At 43.1% G+C, this 20,222-nt stretch overlaps 1 protein-coding gene across 13 annotated transcripts in view; it reads right to left on the bottom strand.

Moving 5' to 3' along the window:
- The window catches only part of SNTG2 (syntrophin gamma 2), a 416,765-nt gene that overhangs the window by 329,565 nt on the left and 66,978 nt on the right, over positions 1-20,222 (bottom strand). For 5 of the 13 annotated variants that reach the window (XM_017004365.2, XM_017004366.2, XM_017004368.2 and 2 more), the window contains exon 1: positions 18,981-19,144. The exons of 2 other annotated variants lie outside the window; for them this stretch is intronic. In XM_017004365.2, the coding sequence (XP_016859854.1) occupies positions 18,981-19,055 (75 nt within the window). In that variant the 5' untranslated portion in view covers positions 19,056-19,144. Of the gene's footprint in view, positions 1-18,980; positions 19,151-20,222 lie in introns of those variants that run through there. 6 more of the 13 variants (XM_017004374.1, XM_047444798.1, XM_017004372.1 and 3 more) reach the window with 4 other exon arrangements.

Raw genomic sequence — 20,222 nt, 5'->3', positions numbered from 1 at the left:
TACAAAATGCCACAGTTGTTTTGGAAAACAGTCTGAAAACTCTTCCACAGATGAGAAGCAGAGTGACCATGTGACATAGCAAGCCCACCCAAGTACATACCCAAGAGAAGCAGAAACTCAGGTCCACACCAAAGCTTGAACACCACCGTCCACAGCCTCAGGATTCATAACAGCCAAGCTTAAAGACGACCAGAAAGTCCATCCCTCATGAGTGGATAAATAACATGTTGTAGCCATAAAATGGAATATTATTCAGCAATCAAAGAAAATGAAGAACTGATTCATGCAAACAACAAAAATGAACCCCCAAAACATGATGCGAAGTAGAAGAACCCAAACACAAAAGACCAGACGTCCTATGTTATGTGTATATAAAGCATCAGACGTCCTATGTTCTGTGTATATAAAGCACCAGACGTCCTATGATTCTGTGTATATAAAGCACCAGACGTCCTATGATTCTGTGTATATAAAGCCTCAGAAGTCGCAAATCCAGAGAGGCAAAAAGCAGGTCCCTGGTGGCCAGGGACTGGGGCAGGGAGCATGCAAAATGGCTGTAAATGGCTTCTTTCTGGGGTGATGGAAATGGTCTAAAACCTATTGTGCCAAAGGCTGCACAACTCTGTGAATATAATAAAAACACTGAATCACACCCTTTAAATCCATGTCTGGCTCAGATCTGTGGGCCAGGGCTATGGCAGCATAGCCTGGGGATGTGGATTCCTCCTTCAGAGAACAGGCAGGGAGGCATGGGGTGAGGAATAGCCTCGGGTGTTAGCCCCCACTGCCTTGGTGTCCCAAAGGACCCAGACATGGTCCAGCTGGCTCTGGGTCAGGTTTTGACCTGTTGTGGGCTCCGCACCACAGAGAGAAGCAGAAGGCAGATGGAGAGCCCTGAGTGCTGACAGAATGTTCCCACTTGGCCACAGAAATGGCAGCGTGCAGCTGCGAGCCACTCAGACTTGGTGGGTTTCTACTTTGCTTGTGCTCCATGGACCAGTGAACTTCAGGCAGCCACCTGCAAGGCACGGGTGCCCCTGGGAGCTGAGTCCACCCCATACTGCCCTCACCTCCAGGTCTGGCAGCACATGATGTGGGCACAACCCAGGCTCCTGAGTCTCTCACATGGTGAGACACTATAGGATGAATGCCCTGTTCTCACCAGGCTAATAAGACGCAGAGAGAGAGACACGGTATTCTGAAAGAACTAAGCTCAAGACAAACGCTGGGCAAGGTCTTGTTTACCTTTGATAAGGGGAATATTGCAGACAGTGAGATTTAAATCAGTGCGTATTTTAACAACATAATTAACACAATTGGGGGATCAGCTGGAAAAAATCACAGAACAATTATAACAAACAAAACCATTATTAAAGATACTTTATGACATTTCTAATTTAATGTTGTGATACCACTTAAGAAAATGTCACTTCTATAAACCCAGGCAGAAAGGAATATGGGTAAAATAACCTGCCATAGAAACATAGAATCAAATTAAAAACCACAGTGGGGAGTGTGACTAGCTATGTACAATTTTAATTAAAGTGTCAATTTTCTTTGAAAAATTAAATTATCAAAACTTAAGTAGGTTTTAAAACAATATGAGATCTTAGAAATTTATCAGAGTCACTTTTAGACTCAAGGCAAAGACTGATTATAGTTGAATTCTTCTAAACGTTTGAGAAAAAAATACTATGCCTTGTAAAGAATATCAGAGTATAGATAAGAGGAAGTGATTCCTGCTATGTTTGAAAAAAAATAAAGAAAAATGTGACAAATATAGAAAAGAAAGAAATAAAGAACAAATCTCCCCTTTTAATATAAGCAGAATATCTCTTTCTCTCCAAGAAAATATAATCTACAAGTACAATGAAAGAATAACACCAAATATATGAGGAGTTCTGTCAGCAGAAGCTGATGCTAATAAACCGTAAGTTAAAAATCACCTAGAAAAACCAAGAGACAAAAATCTTATGAGCCTATTAACAGATGGCAAAAAGTTTAAACATATTTCCACTATCATCACTACCATTTAACAAGGTTACAGAAAAATCCCAGTCAAATTAATAAGGTAGGAAATACAATTATGATGTTTAATGATTTGTAAAGAAGGGAAAATAATTATCATTATTGGCGGACAGTGTAATTGTTTATTTTGGAAAAAAATAGATTTCCCATGTAGACAAATACTCATGTTCCATCTCCATCCCCTTCAGATAAGATGTGCAGACAAAATAAAAACAAAAACACACTGAAGATAAATGCAAATATACAAGAGTTGAAAATAAAAGACTTTAGATATATAAAGTAGGCAAATATGAACCCCAAAAGGAGGATCGTGCCCATTTAAAACTGTTTAAACAGATTTTCCAGCAACAAAAACAAAACCCATGAGAACAACTAAACACTGGTGAAATGAACAATAAATCAAGAAGATATAGCAACCAACACCATATGCAAACCCAGCAAGCATTCCAAATAAAACACCGGCCGCTGAAGTACACAATGAGCATCTTTAGAATTGCAGCTGGAGAGTTGGTTCCAGTCCTTTTTGGTCCATCTCTTGATAGAACAAATGGAGGGAAATAAGTAGCGGTACAAAAGATTCAGATAACAAAATTAAGAATCTTGAAAGTAACCCTCAATACATTTTATAATACTCATTCTACAGCACCATAGAGCACTGCCAGGATCAGTTACAGACAATCATTGCCAGTCAGACTCTGCCTGCCTGTCACAGGGCAACAGAATTCCACTCCCTGATGAGAGAAGAGCCTCAGACACTCAGCAAATACAATATTGAATGCTCCTTGACTTGGAGGAACAATAACGAAGGAAGCAATGCACTGAATAAAATAAAGGATTGTTGTATCTTTGTTCTCATTAATTTCAAAGAACTTCTTGTTTTCTGCCTTAATTTCATTATTTACCCAAAAGTCATTCAGGAGTAGTTTGTTTAATTTCCATGTAATTGCATGGCTTTGAGTGATGTTTTAAGTCTTGGCTTCCATTTTTATTGCACTGTGGTTGAGAGAGTGATTGGTGTGATTTCAGTTGCTTAGCATTTGCTGAGGATTGTTTTATGTCCTACTGTGTGGTCTATTTTAGAGCATGTACCATGTGGTGATGAGAAGAATATTCTATTGTGGTTGGGTGGAAAGTTGTTTAGAGGTCCATCAGATCCATTTTGTCCAGTACTAAATTCAGGTCCTTAATGTCTTTGTTAATTTTCTGCCTCAATGATCTAATACTATCAGTGGAGTGTTGAAGTCTCCCATTATTATTGTGCGGGAATCTAACTCTCTTTGTAGGTATCTAATGAAAAAATGCTCAAGATTGCTGATCATTAGAGAAATGCAAATCAAAATCACAATGAGATACCATCTCACACCAGTCAGAATGGCTACTATTAAAAACTCACAAAATAACAGATGCTGGTGATGTTGCAGAGAAAAGAGAACACTTATACCCTGTTGGTGGAAGCGTAAATTAGTTCAACCATTGTGGAAGGCAGTGTGGTGATTCCTCAAAGATTGAAAAACAGAACTACCATTTGACCCAGCCATTGCATTACTGGGTATATACCCAAAGAAATATAAATCGTTCTATTATAAAGAAAGATGTATGCATGCATATGTTCAATGCAGCGCTATTCACAATAACAAAGACATGGAATCAACCAAATACTCATCAGTGGTAGATTGGATAAAGAAAATGTTGTACATATACACCATGGAATACTATGCAGTCATAAAAAAGAATGAGATCAAGTTTTTTTGTAGGAATATGGATGGAGCTGGAGGCCATTATTCCAAGCAAACTAACCCAAGAACAGAAGGCCACTTATAAGTGGGAGCTAAATGATGAGAACACATGAACACAAAGACACTGGGCCCACTTGAAGGTGGAGGGTAAGAGGAGGGAGAAGATCAGAAAAAAAATGCTACTGGATACTGGTTTAATACCTGGGTGACAAAAACCTGTACAACAAACCCGTGACATGAATTTACCCATATACAAACCTGCACATGTACCTCTAAACATAAAAGTTAAAAATATATTTTTAAAAAGAAAGAGAAATAAAAAACAAGAAAGAAGAAAATAATATTTCAAGTTTTATGAAATCACTATACTTAACACATTCATTTAAAAAAATCAGTTTCTGGTGGGGTTAGGAAGAAACTGGAAACACTCATGTGTTATTGCAGGGAGCACAGGCTGGACCAGTAACTAAGCCAAACAATCTTGAGTTACTTTGTGAAAATGCCTGTGAGTGTAGACTACAACACAGTAATCTCAATCTTGGGTATGAGAAGCCTGTCCACAGGTCCACAGGGAACTTCTACTCCAAGGTCAATCCAGACCTCCACAAGAGCAAGACAGCAGACTGGCAAAAATTGTTGGCCACAACTTTTTCAGGACTCCAAAAGTTGATCAAAGGCTAGCAGTGATCAGAGGAGATTTTACTAAGCAAAGTATCTGAACGCTGGGAAGAGTAAGCTTTATGATATTTTAACATACCCTGTTTCCATCCCCGTCTCCACAGCTCTGCAGCAGCCTTCAACACCAGCGGCCTCACAGCTGTAGTAACTGTGCCACAGGCAACGTAGCAGCCCTTGAAGAAGGGACAGGCATTTGTGGAGTTTCTCCAAAAGTCCCATCTCCAAAAAACTGTCAGAATTGGATCTGACCAGCAACCCCCTGGAAGGCTCTACTCTCTGGACTTGTCTTTGTTGACCTGACTCAGAGCTTCCTCTGCAGGACAACACCCTCCCAGGGCATCTGTCAAAAGCAGTCAGTGGCCACTGTTTAGCATCACAATTGCCTGAGGCTGCAGTACCAACTGGGATGCTGTTTCCTCCAAATCTCATGTTGAGGTGTCATCTCCAATGTTGGAGATGGAACCTGGCGGAGGCAACTGGATCATGGGTGCATATTTCTCGTAAGTGGTTCAGTGCCATCCTCTTGGTGCTGTTCTTGCAATAGTGAGTGAGTCCTCTCAAGATGTGACTGTTTAAAAGTGTGTGACATCTCTCCCCTCTCTCACTTCCATTCCCACCATGTGACATGACTGCCCCAGCTTTGCATTCTGCCGCGATTGGAAGATTCCTGAGCCTTCCCCAGAATCTAGGCAGATGTCAGTGCCATGCTCGCACAACCTGTAGAACTGTGAGCCAAATAAACCTCTTTTCTCAGCTATTTCTTTATAGTGACACAAGAATGATCTAACACAGTGACCAAGGGTAGATACACCCTTGATGTATCTACCAATGAGGTACATTGGAATACACCAAGGGTGTATCTACCAATGAGGTAGATACAAAGTAACTAACTCAAACTGTTTAAGAGCATTTGCAAACAACCCACAGATAATATACTTAATGGTGAAAACTACATGTTGTCCTTCTTAATTCAGAAACATGAGGAAACTGGCCAATTCTTGGCATGATTCTTATTTTACTTTTGCAGACATCTTGGGCATAAAGGATATCTTATCATTATGTGAATTTAAATGTATCAAATAAGTTAGGGAACAATTGAAAGTGTCCCAATTACCCATTACCTGAGTTCCCTTGCCTATACCTGTTTATATTTTTGGGCTATCTAAAATTTGGGCTTATTCATTTATCTTGTAGATTTGCTACAGATTCCTGATATATGTGCGTGCGTGTGTGTAGTTTCGTTTTCATTTTTAGACTTTAGGAACATTTTGTAATCTGTCATTTCTCGGTTACATTTATTCACTGTGTGTTTCACTGTACAGTGTAATCTGGCCTACTTATTTGGCTTTTGCGGTTTTGCTTAAGAAGTTCTTGGTCATATCAATCATGAGGCGCCGTGCTCCCGTGCCCCAGCCCGTGGTCCCGCTGCAGCGTTGTTCCATTGTTAGGGCCCTGCCTGCCCGTGTTTCACTTTGGTGTTGATGACGCTTCATTTCAGGTCCCCCTTCCACCTGTCACAAGCAATGCTGTCAGTAGCTACTTTTATTTAATAATTACTTTAATTATATATAATTCACATACTATACAGCCCACCATTTTTAAATTTAAAATTCAGATTTTTACTGTATTCACAGAGTTGTGCAACCATCACTGCTAATTTTAGAACATTTCCATTACCCCAGAAACAAACCCTGTGCCCATTAGCAGTCAGTCCCAATTTCCCATCGCTAGGAAATGCAAATCTACTTTCAGTTTCTGTGGATTGACCTATGCATGATATTTCATGTGAATGGGATCACACAACATGAGGTCTTTTCCATCTGGCTTCTCTCTCTTCGAATATTTTCAAGTTTCATCTGTGTTGTAGCATGTATCAGTACTTCATTACTACATAGAAATGTGAAACAAATTAGCTGGGCGTGGTGGGACGTGCCTGTAATCCCATTTACTCAGGAGGCTGAGGCAGGAGAATTGCTTGAACCCTGGAGGCGGAGGTTGCAGTGAGCCAAGATCGCACCACTGCACTCCAGCCTGGGCAATGGAGTGAGATTTCGCCTCAAAAAAAAAAAAAAAAAAAATATATATATATATATATATAACAATGAACTATATATACAAATAGCCAAACACATAAAATTTTAAAACTGCTGAGTGAAAACCATGAGAAACCATATGAGACTATAAGTCTATTCATGTCAATTAAAGCACATCTTAGGAAGCTACAATTAGAGTGTGCCCATCTGACACTCTGAGGACTGTTCCCTGAGAGGGGAGGAAATGGGAGCATGAACAGAAAACACCAGAGAAGAACCCTGCACAGACCAGCGACAGACCTGTCTCCAACCGTGTAACTCAACAACTCAACCCTCTGCACGTAAAGTCCACTCAACAAAAACAAAACCAAGGATCTCCAGAAGTCAGGTGGCTGCTTTTATATTTGCTACCTAAAGTAAACATTTCAAAATATGTTAAATTTCACACTGTTTCATGCAATATTGGAGCCTGCAAATTCACTAATTTGGGATTCCTCTCAGAACCTCTTTGCTTTCATAGACTCTGCCATACAAGACTGGAACAGAAGTATTTATTGGTGTTTTTACTTAAGAACCTGTCTAACTAGCTAACTACCACTTGCTTAAAGAATAATCCCTACAACATGTTGGTATCTTCGAATTTCACAACTGCAGCTTAAAAGAGTTCATAAAAGTGGAAATCAGTGAATCTGGGGTCACACGAATAGTCATCGGTGCACGTGGCTCTTCTGCAGCAGAACCATGGATTTCTTCCTTTGTCAACAGGAAAAAAGGAAATCAGTAAATGCACAGTTTTATGGTACACTTGAGAAAGTTCCAGAAGGTGAATACAATGTAATACACATAACATGTTGCCAACATATTTTTACTTATTTTGAAATAATTGTAGATTTTTGAGAAGATGGAAAATGAGTGTACAGCAGTGCTCAGTACCCTTCACCATGCCTCTGACAGGAACACCTAACCTACTGTAGGTTTATGACTGAGAAAAGGCCATGACTGACATGGCCAAAGTATAATGCTGACCATCAAATGCTCACTGGCACACGTGTGGACAGCTCGGTGTTGTTTAATCACAGCTGCACATGTGAGCAGCCTCCAATAAGTACATCTTGTTGTGTGTTTGTACCATCCATGTGTCATCACAGGCCAAGTGTCTCTGTGTGTCCCTTGCCCTTTTTTTAATTGAATTGTGTCTGACCACAGCTACATTTGAAATTAAGATCATGTGGCCCAGGGATCAAGTGGCTCCCACAGTTTCCTCTGAAATCCTCCTTTCTAAGCACGAAGCACGTCTCTAACACACGCACTGCACCAGGCACAGTGGAAGGCGGCATGACTGCACAGCTCAAGAAGTTCAGCATCAAATACAGCCAGTGACACAGGAAAATGCAAACAGCTAAAGCAACAACCAGTGCATGCAATGAGAGCTACAAGTTATTTATGATCGATGTACAAAAGAAGGAAAGGTCACTTCCGAAGGGGCAAGGAAGCATCCCTAAGACAACCTGCAGCCACTCAAGGTGTAGATAGAAGAGATGAAGGAGGCAGCATGCAGGGAAAGGGAATGGCTGCCGAGTCACTCTGCATCAACAGCTTCTATTTAGCGAGAGTGTAAAACACTGGAAATGATACAGGAACGTAAGATGTGAAAGGTAAGATGATGCCTAACAGGGAAAAGCCAGAGTACTTGACTAGAAAGAGGTCAGGTGTGAGTTACTTGGGCTGCCACTGTAGGTTTATGACTGAGAAAAGGTCACCACTGAAGGTTCTGGAAAGGTGACTCTTGCCAATGACATGCATCAAGGTCTAAGAAGAGTCAGGGCTGACTTAGCAGAGGATGAGATGGCACAGGAGCACTGAGGGGGCACCAGAATGAGTGCACCTTGGCGGCGACAGCAGCTTAAGTCTGGAAGGAATGAGACGGGACCAGAACGTGTAAGGTCATGCTCTCACGCATGGTCTCAGGGTGTAACGCCAGAACTATGGAGAACTCATGTGTCAACTGATCAGGACAACATTGCTGATTAGCGGAAACTTCTACAATGACCAAATTCCATTTCTTAATTTCCTTCAAAAAGGAATTATTCAAGCATAACCAAGCAGCATAACCAAGGGGTCTTATTATTCTTAGATACTATTATTCAATAATGCAATAAACCAAAACCTGACACTGTGAATTTATTTAGACATGTTATAGCTTGTTTAATCAAGTGTCAAGTATATTTCTTGTACCACTGCAATATATTTTCCTGACCTCCCTCACCTGCAAAGAAAATCAGTCTTTTTTGTGTTAATTACCACCTCCTCTTAGTCATTTAAAAATTGTAAATCAAACTAGCCTCCTATAGTTAGCTGAGACTTTTGGTAACGTACCAATTCTAAGTTGAAACATAAAAGTAAATATGAATTATTTATAGAAATAAACTGGGGTTTTCGATATATGATTTGGGGAGATAAAGATAAGTAGGCTGGGGTTGCTGGAAAGCCCGGAAACGTGGGGGCCTGCTGTCCAGGCCGCCGGAGCCCCTCCCGATCCTGCCTGAAGCCACACTCCAGCCTGGACAGAAGGTGCATGCCTCCACATTTCCCAAGAGCCAGTGGCAGGGCTTTTGCTCTTGGAGATGAACATGGGACAGCACATTACTAAAAACTCTAGACTCTAGAACTGGCCTGGTCCTATTAAAAAGTAGATACAAATTCACTGTAAAAGCGTGTAATATAGCACAAAAATGCACACAAACGGAACAGTACCCATCCTGCTTAGAAGCGCAGGGTGAGAAGAATCCCTGGCTTTCATGCAAATGTGATTAGCATTTAAAAAAAAAAAAAAAAGGAGGTTGCCTGGAAAACAGATGCAGAGGCAGAGAGGACCAGGAATGTGTTGGAGTTCTAACTACTCAGTGTTGTAAGACCCAGAGTCTTTTCGAGTAAAGCATAAGGAAAGATAGATCCACATGAAGGGAAAGCAGAGGGTTTCTGGACCTTTCAAAGAAGAGAAAGCTGAGAAGGTTTGGACATTGTAAGTGACTGACACCAGGCCTCCCGTCTAGAGGGAAATGAGCCTGACCCGAGGAAGGAAGCTTCTCAGCCAGCATTCGGAACCAGCTGTGGGGATTTTAAACACTACAGATGTCCATTCAGGTGCTACCCTATCAGGATACCTGCAGTCAGTGAATACCCAGGTATTTCTAAAGGTTCAGTAAGCGTAGGATGTGCAGCCAGAGCTTAGTGTCTGTGGGTCAGATGCACCTTCAATGATGCACCTGCTTATCTCTTTACTCAACAGAGATGCATGAGTTACTTACTGGGTAGTGTCTGTGGGTCAGACGCACCTTCAGTGATGCACCTGCTTACCTCTTTACTCAACAGAGATGCATGAGTTACTTGCTGGATAGTGATTGTGGGTCAGACGCACCTTCAGTGATGCACCTGCTTATCTCTTTACTCAACAGAGATGCATGAGTTACTTGCTGAGTAGTGCCTGTGGGTCAGAGGCACCTTCAATGATGCACCTGCTTATCTCTTTACTCAACAGAGATGCATGAGTTACTTGCTGGGTAGTGTCTGTGGGTCGGACGCACCTTCAATGATGCACCTGCTTATCTCTTTACTCAACAGAGATGCATGAGTTACTTGCTGGGTAGTGTCTGTGGGTCAGATGCACCTGCTTATCTCTTTACTCAACAGAGATGCATGAGTTACTTGCTGGGTAGTGTCTGTGGGTCAGACGCACCTTCAGTGATGCACCTGCTTATCTCTTTACTCAACAGAGATGCATGAGTTACTTGCTGGGTAGTGTCTGTGGGTCAGACGCATCTTCAATGATGCACCTACTGACCTACTTACTCAACAGAGATGCATGAGTTACTTGCTGGGTAGTGTCTGTAGGTCAGACGCACCTTCAGTGATGCACCTGCTTATCTCTTTACTCAACAGAGATGCATGAGTTACTTGCTGGGTAGTGTCTGTGGGCCAGACGCACCTTCAGTGATGCACCTGCTTATCTCTTTACTCAACAGAGATGCATGAGTTACTTGCTGGATAGTGACTGTGGGTCAGACGCACCTTCAGTGATGCACCTGCTTATCTCTTTACTCAACAGAGATGCATGAGTTACTTGCTGGGTAGTGTCTGTGGGTCAGACGCACCTGCTTATCTCTTTACTCAACAGAGATGCATGAGTTACTTGCTGGGTAGTGTCTGTGGGTCAGACACACCTTCAATGATACACCTGCTTATCTCTTTACACAACAGAGATGCATGAGTTACTTGCTGGGTAGTGTCTGTGGGTCAGACGCACCTGCTTATCTCTTTACTCAACAGAGATGCATGAGTTACTTGCTGGGACCAGGGAGCACTGTGGGCCCGGGAGCATCTCCAGGAAACAAGCAGACGAGATCCCTGTTCTCTCCAGGGTGCAGGCAGTGAGCAGATGTAGGGGAGAGCTGTTTTTAGGGTGTGCAAGAAGCACATGGAAAAGAGTCACGGGACACAGAGAACTAACTGCAGCAGCAAGAGTGGCCAGGATGGAGGGGCTCCCAGCATCACACAAGGGAGCAAGGGTAGCACGATGGAGGCTGAGCCAAGTTACTGTGGAAGAACCACTCTGTCTGCTATGCAGATACTAAGCCAAGGAGTGCAGACAGTAAATCAGCAAGGCTGCTGTGCAGACACTAAGTCAGGAGAGAAGGAGGCCAAGGGCAGGGGGAGGCCACAGGCAAAAGGAGGAGGCAAAGAGCAGGAAGAGGAAGGGCAGGCCAAGGGCAGGAGGGGGCTCCTGCATTCACCCAGTGAGAGAGGATGGCACTCAGACCATTTGCCATGGGAGACAGAGGTGGAATCGGGGTATTTTTAAAAGGCAGAGCAAGTGGGTTATTCCGAGGGTTGTTTCCTGAGCTCCATTCCATGCACAAGGCTACTCGGGAGAATGAGACATGCTGGGTGAGTGCAGGGTTGTCAACAATTTCATGCCTAGGAAAACACGAAGAGCCATCCATGAATATTTAATCTCAAAACTCTAGCCCGTACAATGATATCTCCCTCACTTTTTTTCCTAGCAGTTTTATTTATTTGTGTTTTTGGATGTTGGCAAATGACATCTTATAATTTCCTAAAACTATTGTCAGAGGGCTAAGTCCCTGTACTGGTAACTCTAATGAGTTCTTTATGCACTGAATAGCAGATTCTGAATTAATGCCAAAAACTGCATAAAATTTGGAAGGAGGAGAACAAGTCCTCTCCCCTGCGTGTTCTTCAGTGTTCACGCTAAGTGCTGAAGAGGAACGCCAATTGAGAGTCTGATTAATAATCCTGAATTACCATAAAACAATGCTAGAGTGGGGTTCAATTAAAAGACACGTGTCTGCATCTGGTGTTGGAGCACTGGGAAAATCAACAACAACAACAAACTTTTCAAAATTATCCAGTAACAAACAAAGCTGCTTGCTTTTCCAGAAACTGATTAACAATTCATATTAAAATTACTCATTACATTTGGACTGGTTTTAAAGAATGCATTTTAACTTCTATAAACATGCAACAAAACAAAACAAAATGCCAAATTAGTTTGTAATGCTGACTTAAAACTCCTGGGCTTAACAACTAGTTCAGCAAGTCAATTATTCCTGCAGAGCCCAAATTTTCAAATCTCTCAAATGCGGTTGACCAGTCTCAGGGTCTCATGAATGAATGAATGAATGAATGATGCTGTCTATGTTAGGCAAAGGCCCCCACAAAAATATCCACATCTGCAGAGCCTGTGAATGTCACATAGCAGGGGGACATTGCAGATGAGACTCAGGCTTGTGAGATGGGGGTCATCCCGGATGACCCAGAGGGCCCAGTGTCATCACAGGGGCCTCCATAAGGCAGAGAGGGGACAGGAGGGCCAGGGTCACAGTGAGATTTGGAGACGCTGCACCGCTGGCTGTGAAGATGATGTGAAGATGGAGGACGTAGCCAGGAGCCAAGGCGCACAGGCAGTCTCTAGAATCCAGAGGAAACAGATTGCCCTCCAGAATTTCCAGAAAGAACGCAGTCCTGCCGATACCTTGATTTTAGCCTAGTGCAACCCATTTTAGACTTCCTACCTCCAGAACTAAAAATATTAAGTTTGTGCTCTGCAGTAAAAAACAGCAGCCATGGGAAGCGAATCCCCCATGCTCTTCTCATCATAGGAATTCTAGAAGTGCCGCACAGGTCCACAGCCATCTCCTGCATGCAGAAGTCCCTGTGTGGCTGCCCTGCCTGGATTCCATGCACCCATATCTCCTGCCACCCTCACCCCGTCCTGTGCTATGTTTACCAACCGGGCCCTTGTTCTATTCCATGAGTCTCTTGAAGTTGCTCCCAGCTGGGATGGCATGCTTCTTCCTGCTCAAGCACTACTCAGACCCTGCATTACTCATCATCCCTAGGGGAAAACACTGAGGCAAGAACTTGGATCTACTCTTTCTGTTAAGCTCTACAACATCCCTTCAGTGTTCTGGTGGGGAACATAGTTTGATTTTGGCAGTGTGAGTGGGGGTGTTTCATATTTTGATCTTTTAGATAAGTTATCTAATCCACGTAGAGTGTATGTAGCAGATCTTGACAATATTTCAAAATAACTAACATTATATCCTGCCATTTATTTCATTATCCCATAGAGTGCACTAACAAGTAATCATATTGTAAGTATTAGTTTCTGCTTTCTTTTTATTTCTTGGTAGAGTACACAATGTGGACCTGTATTACCTATGTCACCTCAGTGCCACCTTGCTTGACAATGTTTTGACATTTGCTAGTGTAAGTCACTGCTTTATTACTTTATTTTTCAAAGAGCCTTGGGTATTAATTCTCATCTTTTCATTATTGCAGGTAAATTTCAGAATCAATATTTTCATTAAAAATAGTCTTGGGTGGGCACGGTGGCTCATGCCTGTAATCCCAGCATTTTGGAGGGTGAGGTGGGAGAATCGCTTGAGCCCAGGAGTTGAAGAACAGCCTGAGCAACATAGTGAGACCACACCTCTACAAACAATTTTAAAAAATAATTGTCCAAGTGTGGTGGCGTGAGCCTGTGGTCCCAGCTACTCAGGAAGCCGAAGCAGGAGGACTGCTTGAGCCCAGGTGGCCAAGGCTACAGTGAGCCATGATCATGCCACTGCACTCCAGCCTGGGCAACAGATGGAGACCCTGTCTAAAAAAACTTAGTCTTCATGTTTTTATCAGAATATATTTAAAGTATAATTTCACTTATAGAAAAAATAAATAATAACCTTCTGTCACATCACATCATGTATGGCTTAGTTAAGTTTTATATTTATTTAAATATTTGTTTTCTTCATATTGGTCCCTCACTTTTAGTATTACGATTTTTCAAATAAATATCTTTTTCTGCTTCATTTTCAATCTGTGGCCCACGGATTGAATCTGGGAGGCCCCTGTGGTGCCACGAAGCTTCCCTGGCAGGCACCATCCATTCCATACCCATGTCTACCGCAGCCACTTCCCCTCCACGAGAGCAGGACTGTTGTTGCCACAGAATCACAAATAAATATCACCATCTCGCACTGCACAGAAAGGTTCGCCAACCCCTGTTCTAGATGAGTTATTACTGGTGTAAAGCACACACCAGTTTTTCCACATTGTCAGTGGATACTCCATGTAACGTTGCTCATCCGTGGAAAGCTTTCAGGTGTGCTGTCTTCAGTCCCAGTCAAGGACAAGGAGGTCCAAGAGCAGCCTGCAGCCGGACCTGGTGTAAGCGGACATCGATGGCACACACACAACTCTCCTTGCAGACTGCCGAGGTTCTGGATCCACTTGACATTGAGCCTAAGGCTGTCTAAATGTCCCCAGACTACGCGGGGTGCAGATGTGCTGACAGTGGCACAGTGACGGAGCCAGGGCTGGGCAACGCGAGTGTCCTTGCAAGGGCTGACCAGGCAGGTCTGAGTGGGCCCACAAAGGCAAGAATTGACACTGTCCACAACATAAAAATGTTCGACGATGAAACCATAAATAAAAATAATAATAATAACCTATTACCCATTTAAGTATAAAACTTATGTTCCTCCATGTTAACAAAATAAGTCAGGCCTTTTATCTCAGTGATGGAAAATAAAGACAACATCAACTATTTGCACATTCTGACTGCAGAAAATTTAAATAAAAATAGATTTACCACCATCCAGCCTCCAACACAGCATCAATTCAGCCCAATGTCATGGCCACTCACCTCACACTACAGGAGAAAACACAATCTTGGAGCCACATCCTTCTACTGCTGCCAAGAGAAGGAGATGGCCCAAGAGTAAAGTGACCGTCCAGGCCAGGCTGGGGGGTGATTACTCAAATCCCTCATTTCAAACAGGATAAATAACATGGGCCCAGACTAATTCTCTCCTCAAGACACGGGCCAGAAAATAAAATTAAAAAAAAAAAACCTATGTGAATATCTACTGATAGTGGGTTAAATGTAAAGTCAAAAAGGATTTATTTCTGAACCACATTAAAAAATCCTCTTTCCTGGTGTCTCCCACTTGTAGCAGCTCAGAGGCTTGTGTGTGCCTGGGAGACTCTCATTTGCTGCCAGTCTCACATCCTCCTACCCTGGCCAACTGGCTGAAGCCATTTATCTCCTTTATCTTCTCTTGTTTCTTAAAGTAAATCTTAACTCTCCAGACGACAGTCCCTAGGCCTTGTTTCTCAAGGTCTATGGATTTATATTCGCTATCAAGATGCTACAATGTTAACTGCAGCTTCTCAGCTACACAAGGAGATTCTCATGGAAGGGGGAAAGAAGAAATGACAGAGGGAAAATTCACTATTTAGCACTGACCCATTTTGATAATCACCAATCCCAATGCAATCCCTTATTAATAAAAAATGTACCTGATCACTTGCCATGTACTAGGCAAGTATGCACAAAAACTCGGGGGCTTCACAAGGGTACAGGAATACTCGAGGATACAGGGACTCAGAGGAACACAGGGAATCAGAAACTCGGAATCACAGGAACTCAGGGATTCAGGGGAACTCAGGGACTGACGGGAATGCAAGGACTCACGGGAACTCAGGGACTCGGGAACTCAGGGACTCACGGGAACTCAGGGACTCATGGGAACTCAGGCAATCATGGGAACTCAGATTCACGGCAATGCAGGGGCTAACGAGAACGCAGAGGCTCCTGAGAACGCAGGTCCTCACGGGAATGCAGGGATTCACGGGAACGCACAGGCTCACGGGAACACAGGTGGTTCACGTGAGCGCAAGGATTCACGGGAACACAGGGGCTCACAAAAACAAAGGAATTTATGGGAACAAAGGGATTCATGGGAACGCAGGGACTCACAGGAAATCAGGGACTTGCAAGAACCTAGGGATTCACAGGAGCGCAGGATTTCCTTTCCTTCGGATAAATGCCCAGTAATGGGAACACTGGCTCAATTCATAGTTTTCAGTTCACCTCTGTGCTCTATTCATAACTTTATGAGGAACCTCCATACTCTTCTCCACAGTGGCTGTACTAGTTCACGTGTAACTAGTGTACTAAAATTTTGAAAATGTATCATGTACACATAGAATAAGTAATTTAGCATGATAGGATTATTAGGAGCTTATGTTTTCACTAAAAAAAAAAAAAAAAAAAGCACATAAAACAAAATTCAAGCCAGGTGTGGTGGCTCACACTTTTAATTGCAGCACTTTGGGAGGCCAAGGCAGGAGGATGACTTGAGGCCAGGAGTTTCAGACCAGCCTGAGCAAAAAAGTGAGACCCCCATCTTTACAAAAATTAATAATAATAATAAATCCGGGCATGGTGGTGCATTCCTATAGTCCCAGCTACTCAGGAGGCTGGGGTGGGAGGATTGCTTGAGCCAGGAGGTGCCAGGAGGTGGAGGCTGCAATGAGTTATGATCATAGTGCTGCACTTCAGTCTGGATGACACAGAAAGACTCTGGCCCTAAAGCAAAAGAAAAAAAAAAGAAAATTCCTAGAAGTCAAGGCAAAAAATAAGTTATATCAAATTTGAGTAAAATATTAAAAAATATATTTAAACAAAATTTTAAAATATATTTGCTTGATGTGTCCAGAAAATGTCCCTGCAAGCTTTTGGTTTCCAAATACCCTGTTAAAATGATGGATTTTAAAAAGCAATATATCTCCTTGGAAAATGGGGCATGCCATTTCTGGATTCAGCAAAGTATTATGAGAGCGTGCTTGAGATATTTTTTATTATCAAACAAAAGGAGCTACTGATCAACAGACTTTTATGGGTGCAGGTCAACAAGATACAGAAACCAGCTTGAACCTCCTACTAATCACATTTGGGTCTATTTAACTGTCAAAGATAGTAGCTACCGTAACTGACTGTAGTGCACCATGTATATGTAATAATACTCAAAAAATTACAGAGAAAGCAAGTGAGAGGAAGAGACAAACATGGCTTGATTGCCCCCACTGGAAGAGATCAAAACACGATTCCTTACTGTGAAAATTGGCGATTCAAGAGAGAATTAATCATTCACCTTTCATTTTAAGAGGAACCACAGTGTCTCTATAGTTGATGAGGAAAAGCTATTCTTCTTTGGAGAAAGGTCATTAAAAATGTAATACAAAAATCACCATTTTTCCAGGTTCAATGAAATAATTGACTCAGAAGGATCATCATTAAATGCTAAAGCTATTAAGCAAAAATTGTTGGTAGGATATTTTCATGCTGTCTAACAGTTACTATTGGCAAAAAATATATATATACATATGGTTAAAAACAGAGAAGTCTGTGAGTTACTCTCTTAAGTGAAAAACTCAGCTCATGAATAATGGGACTTCCTGATGTGGCAGACAGTTTGACATGTTTGAGGTTAAAATTCCTGAATTTTGCAAATGATTTTTAATAATCAGCAAGAACAAAACACAAAGATAAATATATTAAAATATTAGTAATTGAATATGGATGAGGAGTATATTATTAGACTATTCTTCCAACTTTTCTGTTGGAATTTTTTTAAAAAAAAAATTCCTACAAATTTGGAGAAGTGCAGGAATGAGTACACAGACCCAGCACAATCAGATCCCATTCGGACAGTGCAGATGCTGAGTGGGTTTTCAGAACAGCTCTTTGGTAAAAATAAGTCCTTCTGCAGATGTCCCTCTGAGGCTCCACCGTGGCCTGCCTGCTGATGGTTGTAAGTGGTTCCCTCACTCACCATCTGGCCAGTCCAGGGGCCAGAAGTGGGAGGAAAGGCATTCATGCTGGAGCCAGGGGAGCTGGGCCCAAGCCCAGATGCCTGGGCCCTTAGGAAGTGGCCCTGCCATTCACCTGCTGGGCATTGCCCTGGAGTCCTCCACCATCCACCCCACGTCTATGAAGGCTGGAAGAGCATGCACGTATGTGTATAAAATGGGATTTTATTCATCATCAGCTTGTGTACTTGAAATGCACCATTGTTAATATCAGAAGAGATTCATGCCTGAATGGCTATTGGGAATAACTGTCAGTGGCCCATAGTGTTTCTGTGTTGTTCTTGTTGTTTTTCTTTGAGATGGAGTCTCGCTCTGTCCCCCAAGCTGGAGTGCAGTGGCACGATCTCAGCTCACTGCAACCTCTGCCTCCGGAGTTCAAGCAATTCTCCTACCTCAGCTTCCCAAGTAGCTGGGATTACAGGTGCCCGCCACCACACCCGGCTAATTTTTCTTTTTTTTGTAGAGACGGGGTTTCACCATGTTGGCCACACTAGTCTCCTGACCTCAGGTGATCCACCTGCCTCGGCCTCCCAAAGTGCTGGGATTACAGACCTGAGCCACCACGCCTGGCCTCTGTGTTGATGTTAATACCAGGTCGCCCACCTCGCATGAGCCTCCTTAGCACTGTGGTTATCCCTCAGCTAAAACTGCCTAATCCTGCAGCATAATTACCAGTGGAACTATCATTAACTTAGAGAATGTCTGTAGAGTTTCAACAGCCTGCTGTGACATTATAGTTTTTCAATGAATTTCCATTTCCTTTCTTTCCAGAAGAGTGTGCAATCTCCAAAGCTTGGAGCCACTTTGACCCTGCCCTCCTTGCCATTTCTTCCCTTGGATACCACACCTGGTCACTCCCTCCACATTCCCAGCACACCTATGGCCTCTTCCCACAACACTCACTCAGATTCACAAAGCCATCTTCTAAACAGCTCCAGTTTGTCCCCTTCCCACTCAACCCTGCATGACATTGCCACGTGAATCAGGAAACGCCAGTTTGGAATCACTAGTCCCTCTCTTGCTCTAAACACACTCATTGATGGATTAAAATGAAAACTTCTTAGCATGTTCTCCAAGACCCTCCAAGACTCACAGACATGATATCTGGCCTGTCTGATTTCAACCTCATTGCCCATCACATGAAGCTGAGCCAAAGGGGACTGTTTGATGCACAATACACACCATGACGTCCCTCCATCAGTGCTCTGCAGCCCAGCTCAGAATGCCTGTCCACAACTCACACCCTCCACAGCTGCCCCCCTAACAGCACCTGCTCGAAGAGCTGATGCCAGGTCCTTCTAGTAAAACATGCAGCGCTGTCAGCACTGTAGATAGAGCTCTGCATGCGTGCTGTATTCTCATCAAGTGGGAAACCTGTCAGGACAGGAGGAGGACAATGGGCATCTCTTCACACCCTGGAAACTACCAGCATCCCAGGCCCAGCAGCACTCAGAAAACACCTGCTGGGAGCCAACCCTGCTGAGAGCCAACAGGGGCTGTAATGTGATGGCCCATTAAGTGAAAGCACGTTGTGCTCAGGCCTTTGCCAACATTTTACAAAAAAATCACGCAATCTTTTTATTTTATTATTATTATTAATTTTTTTTTGCCAGCCACTTGAGCATGCATTGGCTTTGCATATCGTTCATGCTGTGAATATTTCCCTGCAGAGCACAGCCTGAACCAGGTGAGAAGTTCACGCCCTGGGTCTAAACAGCTCTCATTCCTGCTCCTTCCTCCTTTTCCAAACTTTCTCACTGATGTTTCTCCAGGTCTGACAGCGGCCCCAACCCTGCCCACCATGCACTCTCCCCTCCCTGACTGCACAGCCTCCACCTACCCAGTCGGCTGTGGGCACCAAGGCCCCATCTTTTGCCACAAATAAGTGAACACTAAAGCAGGGATTCCTGGAGGGCCCACCATGGTCTCAGGAGTGGGCACCAAATTTCAAGGGCATCTTTCAGAAGCAGCAGCTTATGCCGATTGTGGCCAGTAAATGAAGACACCCTCTGACCACCAGCGACGTGCCTTCAGCTCCCCAGGGCTGCTTGTCTCCTCACTACTTTCTGCAAGATGATGTTTCCCTTGCTTTGATGCACTGAACAGAACGTAAGAGCCACTTCAGCAATCAGCCAGCCTTAATGGGATTTTTAAAAGAACTGTGAATTAATCATTTTCAAATTTTATCCCTACCAGTAAAAAGTGGGAGTCAACAGAGGCTCGTTACCATACTACAACATACATATTTTGCTAACTAACTCCATGACTAACAAATATCTTTACATTTCTTATGCATGGATGCCAGATACATGCACGAAATTCTGAAAGGGCCTGGAGGAAAAGGGATGGACGAAACCCAACTGGAGATGGCGTGGGGCACTCTCTGAAGGGGAAGAGCCTAAAGAAAAATATGGAAGTTATGAGCTGACCAGACACCACAGGTCACCTCCTCACACCATCCGCATTTGTAGAACACCCACTGTGTGCTCGGAACCTGACAGTTATTGATGCA

The sequence above is a fragment of the Homo sapiens genome, chromosome 2 (genome assembly GCF_000001405.40).
Source record: "Homo sapiens chromosome 2, GRCh38.p14 Primary Assembly".
Taxonomy (NCBI): Eukaryota; Metazoa; Chordata; class Mammalia; order Primates; family Hominidae; genus Homo; species Homo sapiens.
Note: the sequence above shows the minus strand (reverse complement) of the source record. Positions and strands in the feature narration are given on the sequence as shown.